Source organism: Homo sapiens, chromosome 6, assembly GCF_000001405.40.
Source record: "Homo sapiens chromosome 6, GRCh38.p14 Primary Assembly".
In the NCBI taxonomy this organism is placed as follows: Eukaryota; Metazoa; Chordata; class Mammalia; order Primates; family Hominidae; genus Homo; species Homo sapiens.
The window spans coordinates 28,585,319-28,603,561 of NC_000006.12; the positions used below are offsets into that span (position 1 = coordinate 28,585,319).

The window sequence follows — 18,243 nt, forward strand, 5'->3', positions numbered from 1 at the left end:
AAACTTTAGCAAAAAATACACAAAGATGGGAGGGAACAATGTAAATAAGTGCTTCCAAGACAGCCAGAGGAAGGATGTGGGGGCAAATGGGAATTATGTACAGTACTGTATGTATTCAGGACTTGCTGTGCTCAGCTACATCAGATACTCTGAATTCAGCTACTCCCACCTGGTGGCCCCAAACATCAACTTGCTGGGAAAACTCATACATGAGCTTACACAATTTCAGCATTATACTGACTCATTTCTGGCATACTGACCTCATTTTAAAAGATTTTGCATTCCAGAAACATGCGTTTTTAACAGATCAGACTGTATACATAAAGGGTTCACATTCTGAAAGAGTTCAGATAAATGTATGAATAGTATCACTAAAAAATATAAGAATGTCTGGCAATATCCACAATGTTCTAAAATTACTGTCAAAGAAGGCAAATATACTCCTTTAGAAACAACTCCACTGTAATGGCAAAAAGCTTTTAAAATTCTTCTAAAAATAATTTTGAGCTCAAAACATTTTACATACCAACTCTAGATACTGAAAAGAACCAAGGAAATCATGCAATTAGTATTTTCATTGTACAGATGAAGACATTAATGTCCCAGAGAAGGTGTAATATGCCCAAGGTTACACAGCTAATTAGTAACAGAGCCTAGATAGCTTCAAAAGACAGTAATTTTTTAAAAAAAATTTACTATTGTATATTTCTTTAATCTCATAGTCACTACATAAAATATATTTTCTACTGGTAAAAAATAGATCAAGCTTTTCCATTTGGTTAAATCATTTAATTATTTGTATCATACACAAAAACTGTTATCTCATATGCACGCATCTATTCATCTACACCAGTGATCAAATAAGAAATAATGCCCCAAACCAGGGTTTCCAACCACCAGCGCGAAATTACTCCCATTACTCCATTCTGGATCCATGCACCCAAATTCTCCACAGAAGATGGCACCTCCAATTTCTCACCTGCTGTCTAGGTTCATCAAGCTCCCTCTCCAAATCTTCCAGCAAAGTCACCACCTCTTCTCCACTCTCAGGATTATGCTCCCGCACCCAAGACTGGAGCTCCTCAGGCAGGATGGTCAGGAACTGCTCCAGCACCAACAATTCCAGGATCTGCTCCTTGGTATGTATCTCTGGGTTCAGCCACTGACGGCAAAGTTCCCGCAGTTGACTCAGAGCCTCCCTGGGCCCAGGTGTCTCCTGATAGCAGAACTGCCTGAAGCGCTGACGAGAGAGTTCCCTGGTATAAGACAAATTCCTACGTAGGGCTGATTCCTGATCCCAAGTGTGGTCTTCTTCTTTAACCTTTACTTTGATAATCTCCCCTTGTTCTTCTGGAGCCTGGCCAGCCAAGGCTGGGAAGACCCTAGAGACTGCTTCCATCCCGAGCTTAGACAGCTCAGGCAAAGGTTCTCTCCAGTTGGGGTCTAGGCAAATGGGTGATTTTACTTGAGCTCCTTTTTTGTTCTTGGTCAGGAAAGTTTTTGATATAAGAAAACACTCAACACAGGACAACTACAGACTCAGTTTAAAAGGACTTGTTTACGTGACAACACAGGGCAGTTACTCGGGCAATTCCATTGAAAGTGAAGCCATCCTCTGAAAAGACCAGAAATAGTGAGCACAGAGCGACTCACTAAAGCTTCAGGGTCACAAATTGAGCGGCAAGATACTTGCGAGACAGAAAACCGAGGTTATGACGGATACTTTGGCCCTAAATAAAGCCTGGGTGTATGAGCCTAGGCAAGGAAACGAAGATCGGAGCAGCCTGGGCGAGGGCGGAGAGGGAGAGGGGCTCACAAGCTGCCTGGGGAAGAGGCCCGATTGTCGCCGCGCACATGCACCCTTCCCTCGGCCGCAGCTCCCACCTCTGAGGAGCTCAGACCCTGTGGAACCCAGACTAGTGGGTCGAGGGAAACACTCTACAGCTCAGGTGGAGGTTCCGCAGACACACCCGCAGCTGTGCCCGTAGGTTCCGGCCGGGCCCGGTGAGCCACGCTCACTTCCGGTCCGCTCTAGGATTCCAGGTGGTGCCGTCTTCTCACTGGTTGTGCAAACACCTACGGTACCAGTAATTCTGGGGAGGCAAGTACTCTGGAAACGACGGAGAATTAACTCCGGAATTACCTAGTTATCTGGCATCACGGTGAAAAGAGTTCCACAGTGTGAGTAGTGCTGGAGTAGATGCTGCTGGTCTGTGTTTTCCTGTCACCGTGATAAACCATCGCTGGCACTCAGACCCGTGGTGCTCACCGCAGCGACCTGAAACAAAATGGAGAGGAGCATCCCTAAGGACTACCACGTCAGCGAATCTGTAGGATCGTCCCCCGCCTTTCCTCGTTAATTTCGGGCCACTTTCACCTTTCCCTTTCACCCTAAATCAGACTTAAAAAGAAATGTAAGAGTTAGTCCATTGTTTCCATTTTACGGATTAGAAAACCAAGACCACCGAGAATGAGCCTCAGTTGTTTAGTCACGGAGCACAGAGCCGTGACTAAACAACTGTGGGAAACTGGTCCCAGAAATCTAACAAAATCTGGACGGCTGATCAGCGCCTAGCGAATCACTGGAGTGGAGTAACCAGAACATTCTTTTCAAGCAGTCACTGGGTTCCTCCATACCTCTGGTAGCGCAGAGATGCCCAAGGAATATTTGTTGAATTGCTGCCTGGTTCCCTTCTCCATTCTCTGTTTCCTTCTGCTGTGGTCCTCATGTTGATTTCTCACATTTTGGCATTTCTGAGTAGAGAGTCTTTGAATAATCAGAACATCTCTTTTAGAAATCTCTAAATAAAAAAGAAATCTTACGCTTAGAGTCCGTGAATGGTCTTGAGTAAAATTCTGTATAAAATTTTTGTCTGTGTGCCTGTGTCATCCAACCCTGAAAAGATCATTTTCCCAGTCACTTTTAACGTGCTGAACTTATCTTTTGTTTCCCCCCCTAACTATCCTTTGCAATCAGGGATTCTACTACCTTTTTCTCATTCTGCAAGGCAGTGATCTCTGCCATGCTGAGCACAGTAGGCAGTTAACATGGAGTAAGCATGACTTCTAAGTCCTTTACTGACGAGCCTTACTGTTTTGTTTGTTTTGTTTTGTAGATTTGCATTTGTTAATTACTACAACAGTGATAGACACTTATAAAAAAAGTCAAATATTTAAAAAGTCAACGTGGCAAGAAGTGAAGTTTCTTCATCCTCAGTTCCATTCCTCAGAAAAATTGATGCCGAGTTTGTTGTATGTACCTCCAACCTATTTTTAAAATGTACATACAAAATTGAGTACAATATTATTATGTACAAATATAACTGAGTCACAATTATAACTCATTATAATTTGCAAAACTTAAATCATACTAGACTACAATTCACCAAGTTACTGGGCTTTTTTGGTTTGTTTTAAACTTAAATCCTCCCCCAGAAACTGCCAAGCCAACATGTGTTACATGTCTATCCCATTCTTTTTAGTGGCTGTAGAAGAGACTATTTTGATAGATATTGCTAAAAGATCTGCACCCCAGAGGGATGTTTATCGTGAGTCTCGCTAAAGTGTGTTAAGATCCTTTCCTTGCGCTGTGCTTTCCAAGGCCTTGGGAAGAGGTTGCTCTGTATGAAACATATTTTGTAAGATTTGCAAAAGTATGCTAGTATAGTGAAAATTAGTTAAGACAGCTTCCTCTCCCTACTCCAGCTTATCCTCAGATACATCATACAGGCCTTAGAGTACCCATAATTTTATGTTGATAACAGCTGTTCTTTTTCTTAAAGAGGACTTTCTAAATTGTTAAGTTTCAGACCTCACAAATCTGCCCCGGTTGATTTCTGGAAGCTAATTTATGCTCCCAACAAAAGCGCAGGAAAGAGTGAAGAGATCTCCCTGAATTTTATTTTGACAGTTACTCCTTCTTCAGCAGCAAAGCGTCAGCTTTCCTGTCAGCGTGAGTCTCACTGAAGCCTGACCTAACTCTTTCGGATCGGAACTAGAAAGTTTATTATCAAGGAGGTATTTAACCACGACTATACTTACCTACTGTACCCTTGTGGTTGGTCCCATGGTGTAATGGTTAGCACTCTGGACTTTGAATCCAGCAATCCGAGTTCGAATCTCGGTGGGACCTTTCAAAGGTGAACGTTTTACAGTTCCTGGCTTGGCCTCTGAATGTGGGAAAAATTCGTTCCTCCGCTTCCCATCGAATTCTCGTCGAAAACAACTTTGTGGTCGCGTGCACGGTATTGAACTCTCCCCTTCTATCCAAGCATGAAAGTACCAAGCTCTTTCGCCTAGAAGAACGCTTTCAAAGCGTATCAAATTCACGGGTTTGGAGACAAAGAGAAAGATGCTGCTCTTATCGACTTACGAAAAGCTCCAGCAGCAACGTGGAAACCCAATTCCTGTGATGGAGACAAACGCTTCCTCAAAATTTCCTAGGTTCGAAGCCCTCCTCGCTGCCACAACCAAGTCCTGCGTGTAAAGTGGCTGAGCCTTGGTCTCGGGCGTGTTTCTTTTGTTTGTTTTTTTGTTTGTTTTTTTTTTTTTTTTTCGCTGTGGACCTTGCGCCCCGGGTTACTTCTCGCCCCTTTTCCCTATCCCCCATCTTGATGAGACAATTCACCCTCATCTGCTTTCTCTAGTCCCCTGTACTTCTTAGTCTCTCCGCTCACCCCGACTGCAACGTCTGGAAATCCCTCCAAAGCCAGCAGCCCCGGAGGGCTCGGGTCCCTGGTATCCACGGCGTCGAGTCTTCCAGCCGGAGAGAAAAACTCACCTAGGACCGGACCTGGGCCTCGCCGCGCTGGGAGCTGGCATTCCCAATTCAGGACCAGACACGGTGGAGGGGCCCTACAACTTGTGTGGGAGACAAGGGAGATGGGGGTAAAAAGACCTCTGCCTTCAGCCGTTCGCCTGGCATCTCGCCTCTTCAGCTCCTAGTACCAGGGTGAAAGGAGGGGGCTCCCTGACCGAGTCCTCCCCAGACACTACCAAACACTCGGTCCGAAGCATCCGGGAAACAGTCCCTTGGAGCTGAAGGTCAAGAACAGAAAATGTAGCCGCTATCTTGCCTCCCCTGAACTGTGTGTGTAGACGAGGATTGAATTGGAGATAGAGTTGATGAAACCCGGAAGGTCTGGAAAATTCCTTATAGACACTAATTTAGCTGTTAGAATGAGGTGGGAAATGTGAGGTGTCAAGGTGAGGGAAAGGTGTGCCCTAGAGGACAGAGAGGACAAGAACTAAATTAGAAACAAGTATTTGTGTTTCGTACAAATTAATCTCTTCTATGATGTAAGAGACAACCTTTAAATCCAATTATTTATTTTCAGATTTCTTACTTTGACATTTTGATTTTCGCATACATACCAAAAAACCAAATCGAATCCTACTTTCACCAAGTCCATTAAACCATTAATAATTCATTAGCTCATATTTTGAATTACCATTGGTTACACAGAGACTCTGTAACTAAGTTTACAAAATTCATGAAAGCATTATTTTGGCTCCCGTTATGTGTGCTTGATTGTACTTCATATGGTCTGTAATGGTGCTAATTGCAGAGGGAAATAACATTTTCTTGTGGTGTTGCCTTAGCTAGTGTGGCCCCACCTTCTTTCCACTTTGTTGATGTTAGCGTGATGAGATCTCACCCAAAGTGTTCTCCCTTTTCCTAATGGCCTAACAGCCTCTTCTGCCTGTTTGGGATGCTTATAAGTCCAGCCATCCTTCCGACCAACACCATAGCCTGCCTGTGTTACTGTAAGTAATCATTATGATCACATCCATCGTCAAGCATCCACTTATCCTAGCTCAAACCAGTAACTCAGACTTTATCCCAAGCCTCTAAATTAAGGTAATGGACAAGACCTGATTGGAGATGGTGCCTGCACAACGTGACCCAGAACTGAACAGAAGGCCAAGGAGCAGCTGCTATGAGGAGGCGGAAGCAGCCACCAACACTGGGAGAGGCTGGGAGCATATGTAGATGCTCCCCCTGATGCCTTACATGTTCTGTGGGTCTACCAATTCCTTTAGGAAGCTGAGGAAATTCCCGTGGGTATTTATAAAAACTCCACCCTTGAACAAACTTTAGTTAGGTTCCTCTGAGCCCTCCTCTCAACTAGGTCCCATCCTTGGCTTGTCCAGCCCAATTTCAGCAAATAATCCAGTTGAGCCTAGTTTTAGCAAGAATCTTGCTAAGCCAATTCAGTAAGAATTCCTCACCTCAAAATCCTATCAAGTTTCTCTTTTTCCACCCTTGATATCTAATCAAGTTCCTCGTAGTCACTTTCTATCAAATGGTTGTCTTACCCTTACTATTAGCTATAGATCCCCAGCTGTCCCTGATGTATTTGGATCTGAGTTTATTTAATTTCTCTCCCCTATTGCAATTGTCTGGAATAAAGTCTTCCTTGCCTATTTAACTCCATCTGGTACATTTTTTCTTTGACAGTTTCATCAAAGATGTATAGGCATATCCTGGGAAAACTTCTTTTCCAAAGAAGATATCCAGCTAAGGATTGAGAATATGATCAGCTGCCGAGAGAAGATGTGTTCAGAATAGAGGACCAAGCAAATTAATGGTAGCTGATTTCCTGAGGAAATTAAAACAGACTTTAAAATCTGTCCATATCAAAAAATGTGTTACACCACATTAACAAAAATGAAGGATAAAAACCATGTGATTATATCCATAGATACGGAAAAAGTATTTGACAAAATTCAACACCCTTTCATCATAAAAACTCTCAAAAGATTAGTTTTATAGAGCCAGAGCAATTAGATAAGAGAAAGACATAAAAGTCATCCTAATAGGAAAGGAATTGAAATTAACTCCATTTGCTGATGACATGATCAGCAAATAGAAATCCTAAAGATGTTACAGAAAAGTTAGAACTGATAAATTCAGTAAAGTTGCAGGATACAAAATCAACATTAAACAATCAGTAGCATTTCTATATAATGATGAACTATCTGAAAAGGAAATTAAGAAAACAATCCCATTTACAATAGCAACAAAAACAAAATAAAATACTTGGGTATAAATTTAACAAAAGAGATGAAAGACCTGTACACTGAAAACTATAAAACTCTGATAAAATGACAAAAACACAAATAAATGGAAAATATTCCATGTTCATGAAAGAATTAATATCGTTAAAATGTCTACACTACCCAAAGCTATCTACAGATTCAATGCAATCCTTGTCAAAACTCCAATGTCATATTTTACATGAATAGAAAAAACAATTCTTAAATTTGTATGGAACCACAAAAGACCTCAAATAGACAAAAAAATCTTGAGCAAAATGAACAAAGCTGGAAGCATCACATTCACTATTTATATCTATTATAAAGTGATTGTAATAAGGCATGGTACTGGCATAGAAACAGACATACTGACCTTTGAAAGAGAATAGAAAGCCCAGAAATAAACCCATGTATTTATTGTCGATTGATTTTTGACAAAGGTGCCAAGAACACACAAAAGGACAGCTTCTTTAATAAATGGTGATGGGAAAACTGGTTATCCACATGAAGAAGAATAAAATTAGACTTCTATCTTACACCATATATAAAAATCAACTCAAAATGGATTAAAATACAAGACTGGAAGCTATAAACCTATATACTGAAAAAATTAATAAATAAGGGAAAAGCTCCATGACATTGTCTGGGCAATGATTTTTTTTTTTTTTTGACTCCAAAGCACAAGCAACAGAAGCTAAAGCAGACAGATGGGATTGCATCAAACTAACAAGTTTCTGCACTGCAAAGGAAACAAAGTGAAGAGGCAAACCACAGAATGGGAAAACATTTGCAAACCTTATATCTAATAAAGGGTTAATATGCACAATATATAAGGAATTCAAACAACTAAATAGCAAGAAAACAATCAACCTGATTACAAAATAGGCAAAGGACCTGAACAGACATTTCTCAAAAGAAGATATACAAATGGCAATACATATAAAAAAAAGATGCTCAGCATCACTAAGCATGGAGGAAATGAAAATTAAAGCCACAGTATCACTTCACAACCATTAGAATGAGTTTTTTTTTTTTTTGCTGGGCGCGGTGGCTCACGCCTCTAATCCCAGCACTTCGGGAGGCTGAGGCGGGCGGATCACCTGAGGTCAGGAGTTCAAGACCAGCCTGGCCACCATGGTGAAACCCCGTCTCTATTAAAAATACAAAAATTAGCCGGGCATGGTGGTACGCACCTCTAATCCCAGCTACTCAGGAGGCTGAGGCAGGAAAATCGCTTGAAACCGGGAGGCGGAGATTGCAGTGAGCCGAGATCTCGCCATTGCACTCCAGCCTAGGGGACAAGAACGAGACTTCGTCTCAAAAAAAACAAAAACTTCTTTTTTTGGCTTTGTTTTGCTTTTTGTTTTGAGACCGAGCCTGGCTCTGTCGCCCAGGCTGGAGTGAAGTGGCAAGATTACGGCTCACTCAGCCTCAACCTCCTGGGCTCAAGTGATCCCCTTGCCTCGGCTTCCCAATTAGCTGAGACCGCAGGCATGCGCCACCATTCCCCGCTGATCTTTATTTATTTTGTAGAGATGGTGGTCTCCTTATGTTAGCCAGGCTGCTCTCAAACACTTGGGTTCGAACTCCTGGGCTCAAGCGATCCTTCCACCTCGGCCTCCCAAGGTGCTGGGATTACAGACGTGACCCACCACACCCGTAACAATCTTTCACCTTTTTGACAAAATCTTTTTTATAAAAGCCGGGTTTTATCAAAAAGATGAAAGATGGTAACAAGCGTTGACAAGGCCATGGAGAACAGACAGCTTTTGTACATTGTTGGTGAAAATGTAAAGTAGTACAACCATTATGGAAAATAGTATATAGATATTTCAAAAACTAAAAATAAAATTACCTTATGATCCAGCAGTCCCACGTCTAGGAATATATCCTAAGGAATTGAAATCAATATATCAAAGAAATGTCTGTACTCTCATGTTCATTGCAGTTAATAGCCAAGACATGGAATCAACCTAAGTGTCCATCATCAGATGGATATATAAAGAAAATGTGCTAGGCCAGGAACAGTGGCTCAAGCCTGTAATCCCAGCATTTTGGGAGGCCGAGGCGGGTGGATCACCTGAGATCAGTAGTTTGAGACCAGCCTGGCCAATGGGGTGAAACCCCGTTTCTACTAAAAATGCAAAAATTAACTGGGCATGATGGCACATGCTTGTAATCCCAGCTATTTGGGAGGCTGAGGCAGAAGAATCGCTTGAACCTGGGAGGTGGACGTTGCAGTGAGCTGAGATGGTGCCATTGCACTCCAGCCTGGGTGACAAGAGCAAAACTCCAAAGAGAAAGAAAATGTGCTATATATACAATGAAATACTATTCAGACTTTAAAAAGAAAGAAATTCTGTCATTTTTCACAATGAGGATGAACCTGGAGGACATTATGCTAAGAGAAATAGCCAGACCCAAAAAGAAAAATACTTCATGATCTCACTTATATGTGGAATCTAAAAAAAAAGTTGAACTCGTAGAAATAGAGAGATTAGAATAATGGTTACCAGATGTTACAGGATGGGGTGGGAGTTGGGGAAGGAATAGAGTTGTTAGTCAAAGTAGTACAAAGTTTCAGATAGACAAGAGGAATGTTTTGAGATCTATTGCACAGTAGGGTGGCTATCGACAATAATTTAAAAAGTGAAATTAAATTAAAAAAGAAAACCTGTCCAAGTTATGAAATGTGTACCTGGGAACATCGAAGATAGAAACTGGCCAGAAGCGGTAATCCCACGCCTGCAATCCCAGCATTTTGAGAGGCTGAGAGGGTCAGGTCAAACCTAGGAGTTCGAGACCAGATTGGGCAACATGGTGGAACCCCGTCACTACCAAAAAAAAAAAAAAAAAAAAAAAAAAAAGCAGTCCCAGCCACTAAGGAGGCTGAGTTGGGAGGATTGCTTGAGTCTGGGAGGTGGAGGATCAGCCACTGCACTTCAGCCTCGGTGTTAGAGCAAAACCCAGTCTCAAAAAAAAAAAAAAAAAAAAAAAAAGAAGAAGAAGAAGAAGAAGAGGACGAGGAGGAAGAAGAAAGCAGCTTTCCTGAGGCAAACATTTACAGAAATAAAGAAAATTCTAGGCCAGGTGCAGTGGCTCACGCCTGTAATCCCAGCACTTTGGGAGGCCGAAACGGGCAGATCACCTGAGGTCAGGAATTCAGACCAGCCAGGCCAACATGGCGAGACCCCGTCTCTACTAAAAATACAAAAATTAGCTGGGCTTGGTGGCACGTGCCTGTAGTCCCCACTACTCGGGAGGCTGAGGCAGGAGGATCGCATGAACCCAGGAGGTGGAGGCTGCAGTGAGCTGAGATCACACAATTGCACTCCAGCCTGGGCAACAAGAGCGAAACTCCGTCTCAAAAAAAAAAAGAAAGAAAAAGAAAATTCTAGATGAATGGATATAACATGTAGATACTTCAGCCATGTACAAGCCTTAAGACCAACATAGGAAACATCTGAATACTTTATTAAATCACAGATTCAAGAACATCCCATCCCCCACTGCCCCGCCACTGAGGTTATAATGCAATAGATCATGATCGAGGCCCAGAATTCTTCATTCATAACACACACTTTGGGTCATTCTGATGTAACAGTCCAGAGGAGGGTGAGAGGAACAAGAATTTTAGTCATTACTGGTTAAGAGTGTAAACTAATAAAATCCTTTTGGAGGGCCATTTGGCAATATCTATAAATATTTTAAATGAGTATATCCTAAGACACAGCAAACTCACTTTTAAAAATTTATATTGCAGTATTACAGATATACACATTCAAAATTTTATGTATGTATATATAAAGTTATTTGTGCAGCATAGTTTATAATAGCAAAAGATACAGAAAACCCAAATTGTCCAACAGAGAACTGGTTAAATAATATATGGTAAAGTATGCATTGGGATACAATGCATCCTTAAAAAAGAATAAGCTTTCACTTTTTGTGATGATACAGAAAGCTCTCCAGGATATATTGGTTAGGGAAATGGGGCAGGATAAGGAATGATATTCATAGTATGTTGTCATTTGTGCTTTTTTTGAGATAAAAATAGAAATATATATGTTATGTAATATATATTCATATGTGCTTAGTGTAATCCTGGAAAGAATTAACAACAGTGGTTATCAGTAAAGAATGTAATTAGGTGGTTGGGGAATAATTATGGATGGGTGCAAGATTTTATATAGCTTTATAATTTTGGAATCATGTGAATGCAGTGCCTATTCAAAAACTTAAATAAAATAAATAAAATAAAAAATATATATTTTTTTCTCCCAAGGCCCACGATGGAAATCACAAGTAGAAACTATTCAATATGGACATTCCTCTCTGTCTTGCTTATGGAGGCATCTTTAGACATAACTGGGAATGTCGTATGGAGTATATTTTTCAGCTTTGTCACATCTCTAAGCAGAGACAAATCCTCCTCAAAGCTAGAGACCAGCAGACAATAATGGTTAAGTATTTTGTTGGGGGAGGGCAGTTTAAAGTTAGCAAAGAGTAAAAATTTCAGTAAGGTTAAAATTAGGCTGAAAATACCTGCAAAATATAGTATCAATAACTTGTTGTACATATTTATGTGGATGATTTTTATCATTTACTTTAAGTTTATTGACAATATTTTTCTATAGCCCTCAATTAATTATTCAGTTGCTCCTTCAGAAGAGCTGGAAACTCAATGGAGAACACATATATTTCTTGCCCTTAAGAAGGTTACCATCTGGAGGGAAAAGTAAACACTACCCAAATGTTTCAACTGGCTAATTTAACTTACAAGTATGATCAATGTTGCTGAGGAAGAATTGTCCCTGAGATTTGAGAGAATCTTGTACTCAGAACTGAAAATTAGCAGAGGCCAGTTAAGATACATTTAGTAATTTACTTGGTTTCTTGGCAAATTAATCTACCAAAGATAAACGCTAACTAGGCAGCACTCAGACCCATCCTTTCAGAGGGTTAAATAAAAACCTCCAGAAACGACGAGGATGGGATTCGAACCCACGCGTGCAGAGCACAATGGATTAGCAGTCCATCGCCTTAACCACTCGGCCACCTCGTCACATGCTAAGCGTGGCAAAGTCATTTTCTTCCTCCGCACAGTTAGTCCTGTAATAATATATTTTTAATCGCTCTTTTTCTGGCTTAATCCTGATTCAGTCCTTACAACCACACCCAGAATCGGGTATTTTTAGGTACATTTCGCAGCAACCACAAAAGTGATAAATGACACCTAGAGTGGTTCAGTTACTTGGCACATATCAAACGAACAGATAAAAACAGTACGCCTAGGTATTAAATACGTAGATCCTTGCTGAACACTGGAATGCATGGGACATAGGATTTGAACCCTGGTTTGCTGACCTGGCTCCAGCTAGCTCCTCTGTGTTCTCCCTTTGGAGGGACCGGATTATTCCTTCTCCTGATGAGAACATCTCCAGAGATTCCTGTTTTCTGGGAGGTGCCAGAAATTAGCAAACAAACTACAACGAACAATAAACCGGCTCTGTGATTCCTTATACATTTTTGCTTCTGAAATATGCCGGACAGCAAAGAGACGCTTTCATTTCTCTCTAGTTCTTTATCTGGGGTTTGGAATTATTGCATTGCTGAGATATGCAGCAATGGGTCAAAACGGGGTTGGAAAAAAGGTAGAAAGACTCCCCGATGTGAGCATTTTCGTTCTAGAGTAGTTTGGAATGTTACTGCGTAAGATGATTTAGCCTGGCTGCCACCAACACTTACAGGGTCGGGTGGGGCAATCCTTCCTAGAGCAGGAGCCAGCTAGCTTGGGTCGGGGTTCTGTCCCACTCACCGTGTGACCTGGGCGGGCCACTTAACCAACTCCATCCCATAATTTTTATCTATCCAGGAAGAAGCGGACTTTGGCAATTTCAAATAAACCCAGCACCAAGGAACCCATCTACTCACTAGAGCTTCTCGGCTTTTCTATATTTGGTGGAAAATATTGGAGAGATTATTTCTTGCCCAAATGCTGGGGTGTTTTTGTTTTTGTTTTGTTTTGTATTGTTTGTCCTTCCTTTGAAATCTTTACTTCTCTTTAGGCAGAAGGGACTGTCTTCTCTCCCCATCATGTTCCTTTACCAAATTTCATATATCCATCCTCACCATACAACTACCCAGCATGGAAAACTGACCTGGGTTAGAGGACTAAAGATTTGTTTATTTAATGATTCAAACAATTGTAGTTATTTATTTGAATGAGGACAGTTGTTATGATTTTCCGGTCCGAGGTGGGTGTATCACTTGAGGTCAGGAGTTCGAGACCAGCCTGGCCAACATTGTGAAACCCTGTTTCTACTAAAAATAAAATAAAATAAAATAAAATAAAATAAAATAAAATAAAATTAGCTGAGTGCGGCGGCGCGCACTTGTAATCCCAGCTACTCATGAGACTGAGGCACGAAAATCGCTTGAACTCAGGAAGTGGAAGTTGCAGTGAGCTGAGATCACACCACTGCACTCCAGCCTGGGTGACAGAGTGAGACTATGTCTCAAAAAAAAAAAAAAAAAAGAAAAAAGAAAAAAAGTAATTATAGCAAGGTTGCAAGACACAAGGTTACTACATAAAAGTCAATTCCTTTTCTACATACTAGCAATACTCATTTGGAATTTGAAATTAAGAAAGCAACACTATTTATATTAGCACCAAAAAAAGAAAAGAAGAAAGAAACAGAAGAGAAAACAAAAAAGAAAAAGGATACTGAGATATAAATCTAACCAGTTATGTACAAGATCTATGTGAGGAAAGCTACAAAACTCTGACTGAAGCAATCAAAGAGAATCCAAATAAATGGAGAGATATTCCATGTTCATGGATAGAAAAACTCAATATTGTCAAGACATCAGTTCTTTCCATTTGGTCTATAGATTCAACACAATCCTAATGAAAACCCCAGTGAGATACTTAGTTGTAGAAAAAACAAACGAACTCGAAATTTATATGGAAAGGCAAAAGATTCAGAATAGCCAACAACATGCAAAAGAACTATGCTGAAAAACTAACATTACCCAATGTCAAAGTTATAGTAATCAGGACAGTGTGGTGGTGGTGTGATATGGTTTGGGTGTGTCCCCGCTCAAATCTCGTCTTGAATTTCCATGTGTTTTGAAAGGGAGCTTGTGGGAGGTAATTGAATCATGGGGCAGATCTTCTCCATGCTGTTCTCATGATAGTGAATAAGTCTCATGAGATATGATGGTTTTAAAAAGGGGAGTTTCCCTGCACAAACTCTTCTCTTGTCTGCCACCATGTGAGACATGTCTTTCACCTTCTGCCATGATTGTGAGGCCTCCCCAGCTACATGGAACTGTAAGTCCAGTAAACCTCTTTCTTTTGTAAATTGCCCAGTCTTGGGTGTGTCTTTAACAGCAGTGTGAAAATAGACTAATACAGTTGTCAAAATAATAGAAAAATAAATCAATGGGAAGAAGTGAGAATTACAAAATAGACCCATAGTAAACTTACCTTTGACAAGAGAGCAAAGGCAGTTCAGTGGAGAAAAGCATGATTTTTTAACAAATTTTAATAAAACAATTGGAGATCCATATGTTAAAAAAAAAAAGACTTTAGACACTGACCTTAGCACTTTCATAAAAATTAACCCAAAATTGATTATACACCTAAATGTAAAACACAAAACTATAGAATTTCTAGCAAATAACATAGGAGAAAATCTAGGTAGCGTTGGCTTTGGCAATTAGTTTATAAAAACAACACCAAAAGCAAAACATCTGGAAAAAAAAATAAGTTGGATTTTATTAAAATTAAAAACTTCTCTGTGAAATACACCGTTAAGGGAATGAAAAGAAGATGTACAAAGAACTCTCAAAAATTTAACAAGAAAACAAACGACCCAGTTAAAATGTAGGCAAAAGATCTGGACACTTCACTAAAGAAGGTGGCGGCTAAGCTTATTTATAGATTCTCAACATCATACGTCACTAGGGAATTAAAAGTCAAAACAGCAGGTGGGGAGTGGTGGCTCATGCCTGTAATCCTAGAACTTTGGGAGGCTAAGGCAGGCGGACTACTTGAGGCCAGGAGTTCGAGACCAGCCTGGCCAACATGGCAAACCCCCATCACTACTAAAAATACAAAAATTAGGCGGGCATGGTGGTGCGTGACTGTAGTCGCAGCTACTTGGGAGGCTGAGGTGAGAGGCCTGTTTGAGCCCAGGAGATTGCAGTGAGCTGAGATTGCACCACTGTACTCCAGCCTGGGTGACAAAGTGAGACTCTGTCTCAAAAAAGTAAAATGTAAAAAAGTAAACAGAGTTTTAAGAAATTTATCACCCAGAAATAATATATGAACTTACTTTGGATCATAAATCGAACAACTCACCCATAAAAAATTTTTTGCATAACTGGAAAAATTGAACACGGACTAGGTATTAGATAATATTAAGAATTTTAGTTAAATATTTTAGAAGTGATAAAGTTATTAAAATTATGGTTTTGTTTGTTCGTTCTTTTTGTTTTCTGTGACACAGCCTCAGGAGGTCCTGACAACATGTGCCTTTTTTTTTTTTTTTTTTTTGAGACAGAGTCTCACTCTGTCGTCCAGGCTGGAGTGCAGTGGCGCGATCTCGGCTCACCGCAAGCTCCATCTCCCAGGGTTCACGCCATTCTCCTGCCTCAGCCTCCGGAGTAGCTGGGACTACAGGCGCCCGCCACCACGCCCAGCTAATTTCTTTTCGTATTTTTAGTAGACATGGGGTTTCACCGTGTTAGCCAGGATGGTCTCGATCTCCTGACCTCCTGATCCGCCCACCTCAGCCTCCCAATGTGCTGGGATTACAGGCATGAGCCACGGCGCCCGGCCACATGTGCCCATTTTTTAAAATGTTCTTTTCTCTTAGACATATACTGAAGTATTTAAACATCAAATTACATAATGCTTAGAAGTAGCTTAAAATACTTCAGTGGAGAAAAGGAGAGATGAATGAAATAAGAATGGTAAATGCTAATTTTTGTTGAACCTGGTTGATATGTGCATGGAAAGTCATTACACCATTCTCTCTAACTTTATGTAAGTTTGAAAGCTTTAATAAACAAAACTAGAAGAGCTTTTTTCGATGCAAGCGTTAGCTGTCAACTACCTGTTTTTGTCAATGATATTCAAAATTACTCTCACTCTTGTTTTGAGGGGAGAAGGGGGACAGGGTCTTGCTCTGTCGCCGAGGCTGAACTGCAGTGGTGTGATCTCAGTTCACTGCAGCCTCCGCCTCTCAGGCTCAAATGATCCTCTCACCTCAGTCTCCCAAGTTGCTGGGACTACAGGCATGCACCACCACACCTGGCTAATGTTTGTGTGTGTATTTTTAGTAGAGATGGGGTTTTGCCATGTTGGTCAGGCTGGTCTTGAACTCCTGAACTTCCGCCCACCTCGGCCTCCCAAAGTGATGGAATTGCAGGCATGGATCACTGCGCCCAGGCAGAATTCTCACTCTTAAGGCTCCACCGATGTTGAGGTGTTTGAGGGAGGGAAAGTTGTTGTTCTGTGGGACCCTGGTGCTGAAGACATGATCTGGGTAACCCCTAGCTCTTTCCTACCCACCCACCCCTCTATGCCCTCCATTTCCCTCTCTCTTCTGACATAATGAAGCATGCAGGCCTGAGTGAAGGAGTACCTTCTGGCAGCTATGGGAACTATGGCTATGCTGATAGTGCAGATAATGCCTGTGAAGAAGAAAGAAAGACTCACTGAAAGTTTGATCTGTATAGGTCCTTTGGTTTATTTTTTAATTTATTTTATTTTTATTTATTTTTTCTGATGGGTTATCTTTTCTCACATATGATGATGATAATTCATGACACTTAAATAGTGATGTTTTGTTTTGTTTTTGACACGGAATCTTGCTCTGTCACCCAGGCTGGAGTGCAGTGGCATGATCTCAGCTCACTGAAACCTTGGCCTCCCGGGTCAAGTGATTCTCCTGCCTTAGCCTCCTGAGTAACTGGGACTACAGGTGCTCACCACTACACCCACCTAGTTTTGTGTTTTTAGTAGAGACAGGGTTTCACTAGGTTGGCCAGGCTGGTCTCAAACTCCTGAGTTCAGGTGATTTGCCCGCCTCAGCCTCCCAAAGTGCTGGGATTACAGGCGTGAGCCACAGTGCCCAGCCTCTTTTTGCCTAAATCTTCCTAATAATTTTTGATGATAATGACCTCTCTTTCTTCTCTGCCCCAATACCTCATTCTTTAAATAAAGCTTATGATTTTGGCATGTTTCTAGTAGGGCCCAATTCATATGTGTATTAGTCTAGTTACTGTTTTATATTAACTTTATAAATTCCATTGACTTGGCTTATAATAGCTTTATGATTTTTGCTACTTAGGTAGGCCATTTGATTATTGTTGGTGACAGAATAATGTAATTACTAAACTCTGAATGGAAATAAAGTATTCAATAAACTCAGATTGAACTTGGAGTATTGTTGCTTTAATCTAGTGTATTTATGGAAAGCAAATCACAAAGGTGGACTGTTGAGTAAAAGAAAATATTAAAATATTGTTAAATACTCTGTATTGCTGCTACTTTGGGATTTACCCATTTATAGCCACCAAAAAAAAATTTTTTTTTTTTTTTTTTTTTTTTGAGAGGGAGTCTCACTCTGTCGCCCAGGCTGGAGTGCAGTGGCGCGATCTCGGCTCACTGCAAACTCCGCCTCCCGGATTCAAGCCATTCTCCTGCCTCAGCCTCCCGAGTAGCTGGGACTACAGGTGCCCCCACCACGTCCAGCTAAATTTTTTTTGTATTTTTAGTAGAGACGGGGTTTCACCGTGTTAGCCAGGGTGGTCTCCTGACCTCGTGATCTGCCCGCCTCAACCTCCCAAAGTGCTGGGATTACAGGCGTGAGCCACCGTGCCCGCCCAAAATAAATTTTTAAATAAAATTTTAAACACTTTCTCATTCTTAAAGTTTACTTTGATGGGTACACAAGTCTAGATTGGCAATTGTTTTATTTCAACACTTCCAAAATATATCTTATTGTTTCCTGGATTTTATCATGAAGATGCTTGTTAACATTCTAATTGTTCTTTCTTTGCAGAAATCTATACATTCTCTCTGGCTGATTTGAGACATCCTCTTATGTTTGTTATAACACAGTTTCAGTATGAGGTGTGTAGTTATAGTTGTTTCTCTTTAACGTGCTTGTGACACATTTGCTTTCTGAC

General features: G+C 40.9%; 1 protein-coding gene, 1 long non-coding RNA gene and 2 other non-coding genes across 9 annotated transcripts in view, besides 2 other annotated features; 2 read left to right on the top strand and 2 right to left on the bottom strand.

Moving 5' to 3' along the window:
• SCAND3 (SCAN domain containing 3) overlaps positions 1 to 18,243 on the bottom strand; it is a 45,668-nt gene that overhangs the window by 14,784 nt on the left and 12,641 nt on the right. The window contains exons 2-5 of one of the 6 annotated variants that reach the window (XM_047418157.1): positions 8,894 to 8,929; positions 4,042 to 5,223; positions 2,638 to 2,801; positions 980 to 2,278 (exon numbers count right to left, since the gene is read on the bottom strand). The exons of 1 other annotated variant lie outside the window; for it this stretch is intronic. In XM_047418157.1, the coding sequence (XP_047274113.1) occupies positions 980 to 1,399 (420 nt within the window). In that variant the 5' untranslated portion in view covers positions 1,400 to 2,278; positions 2,638 to 2,801; positions 4,042 to 5,223; positions 8,894 to 8,929. Of the gene's footprint in view, positions 1 to 979; positions 2,279 to 2,637; positions 2,802 to 4,041; positions 5,224 to 8,893; positions 8,930 to 18,243 lie in introns of those variants that run through there. 4 more of the 6 variants (XM_047418158.1, NM_001329616.2, XM_047418156.1 and 1 more) reach the window with 4 other exon arrangements.
• Positions 1,600 to 2,476: an enhancer, noted in NCBI's record as "H3K27ac hESC enhancer chr6:28554695-28555571 (GRCh37/hg19 assembly coordinates)". NCBI's record gives its function as "activates a minimal SCP1, AML or CMV promoter by ChIP-STARR-seq in naive H9 embryonic stem cells {active_cell/tissue: H9 hESC(naive)}" and the evidence as "EXISTENCE:reporter gene assay evidence [ECO:0000049][PMID:30033119]".
• ZBED9-AS1 (ZBED9 antisense RNA 1) lies at positions 2,060 to 6,431 on the top strand. The gene is made up of 2 exons (NR_186619.1): positions 2,060 to 2,414; positions 3,911 to 6,431. It is a non-coding gene; the product is annotated as a ZBED9 antisense RNA 1 (long non-coding RNA).
• Positions 3,968 to 4,647: an enhancer, noted in NCBI's record as "OCT4-NANOG-H3K4me1 hESC enhancer chr6:28557063-28557742 (GRCh37/hg19 assembly coordinates)". NCBI's record gives its function as "activates a minimal SCP1, AML or CMV promoter by ChIP-STARR-seq in naive H9 embryonic stem cells {active_cell/tissue: H9 hESC(naive)}" and the evidence as "EXISTENCE:reporter gene assay evidence [ECO:0000049][PMID:30033119]".
• On the top strand, positions 4,061 to 4,132 carry TRQ-TTG2-1 (tRNA-Gln (anticodon TTG) 2-1). Its single transcript has one exon. It is a non-coding gene; the product is annotated as a tRNA-Gln (tRNA).
• On the bottom strand, positions 12,022 to 12,103 carry TRS-GCT4-1 (tRNA-Ser (anticodon GCT) 4-1). Its single transcript has one exon. It is a non-coding gene; the product is annotated as a tRNA-Ser (tRNA).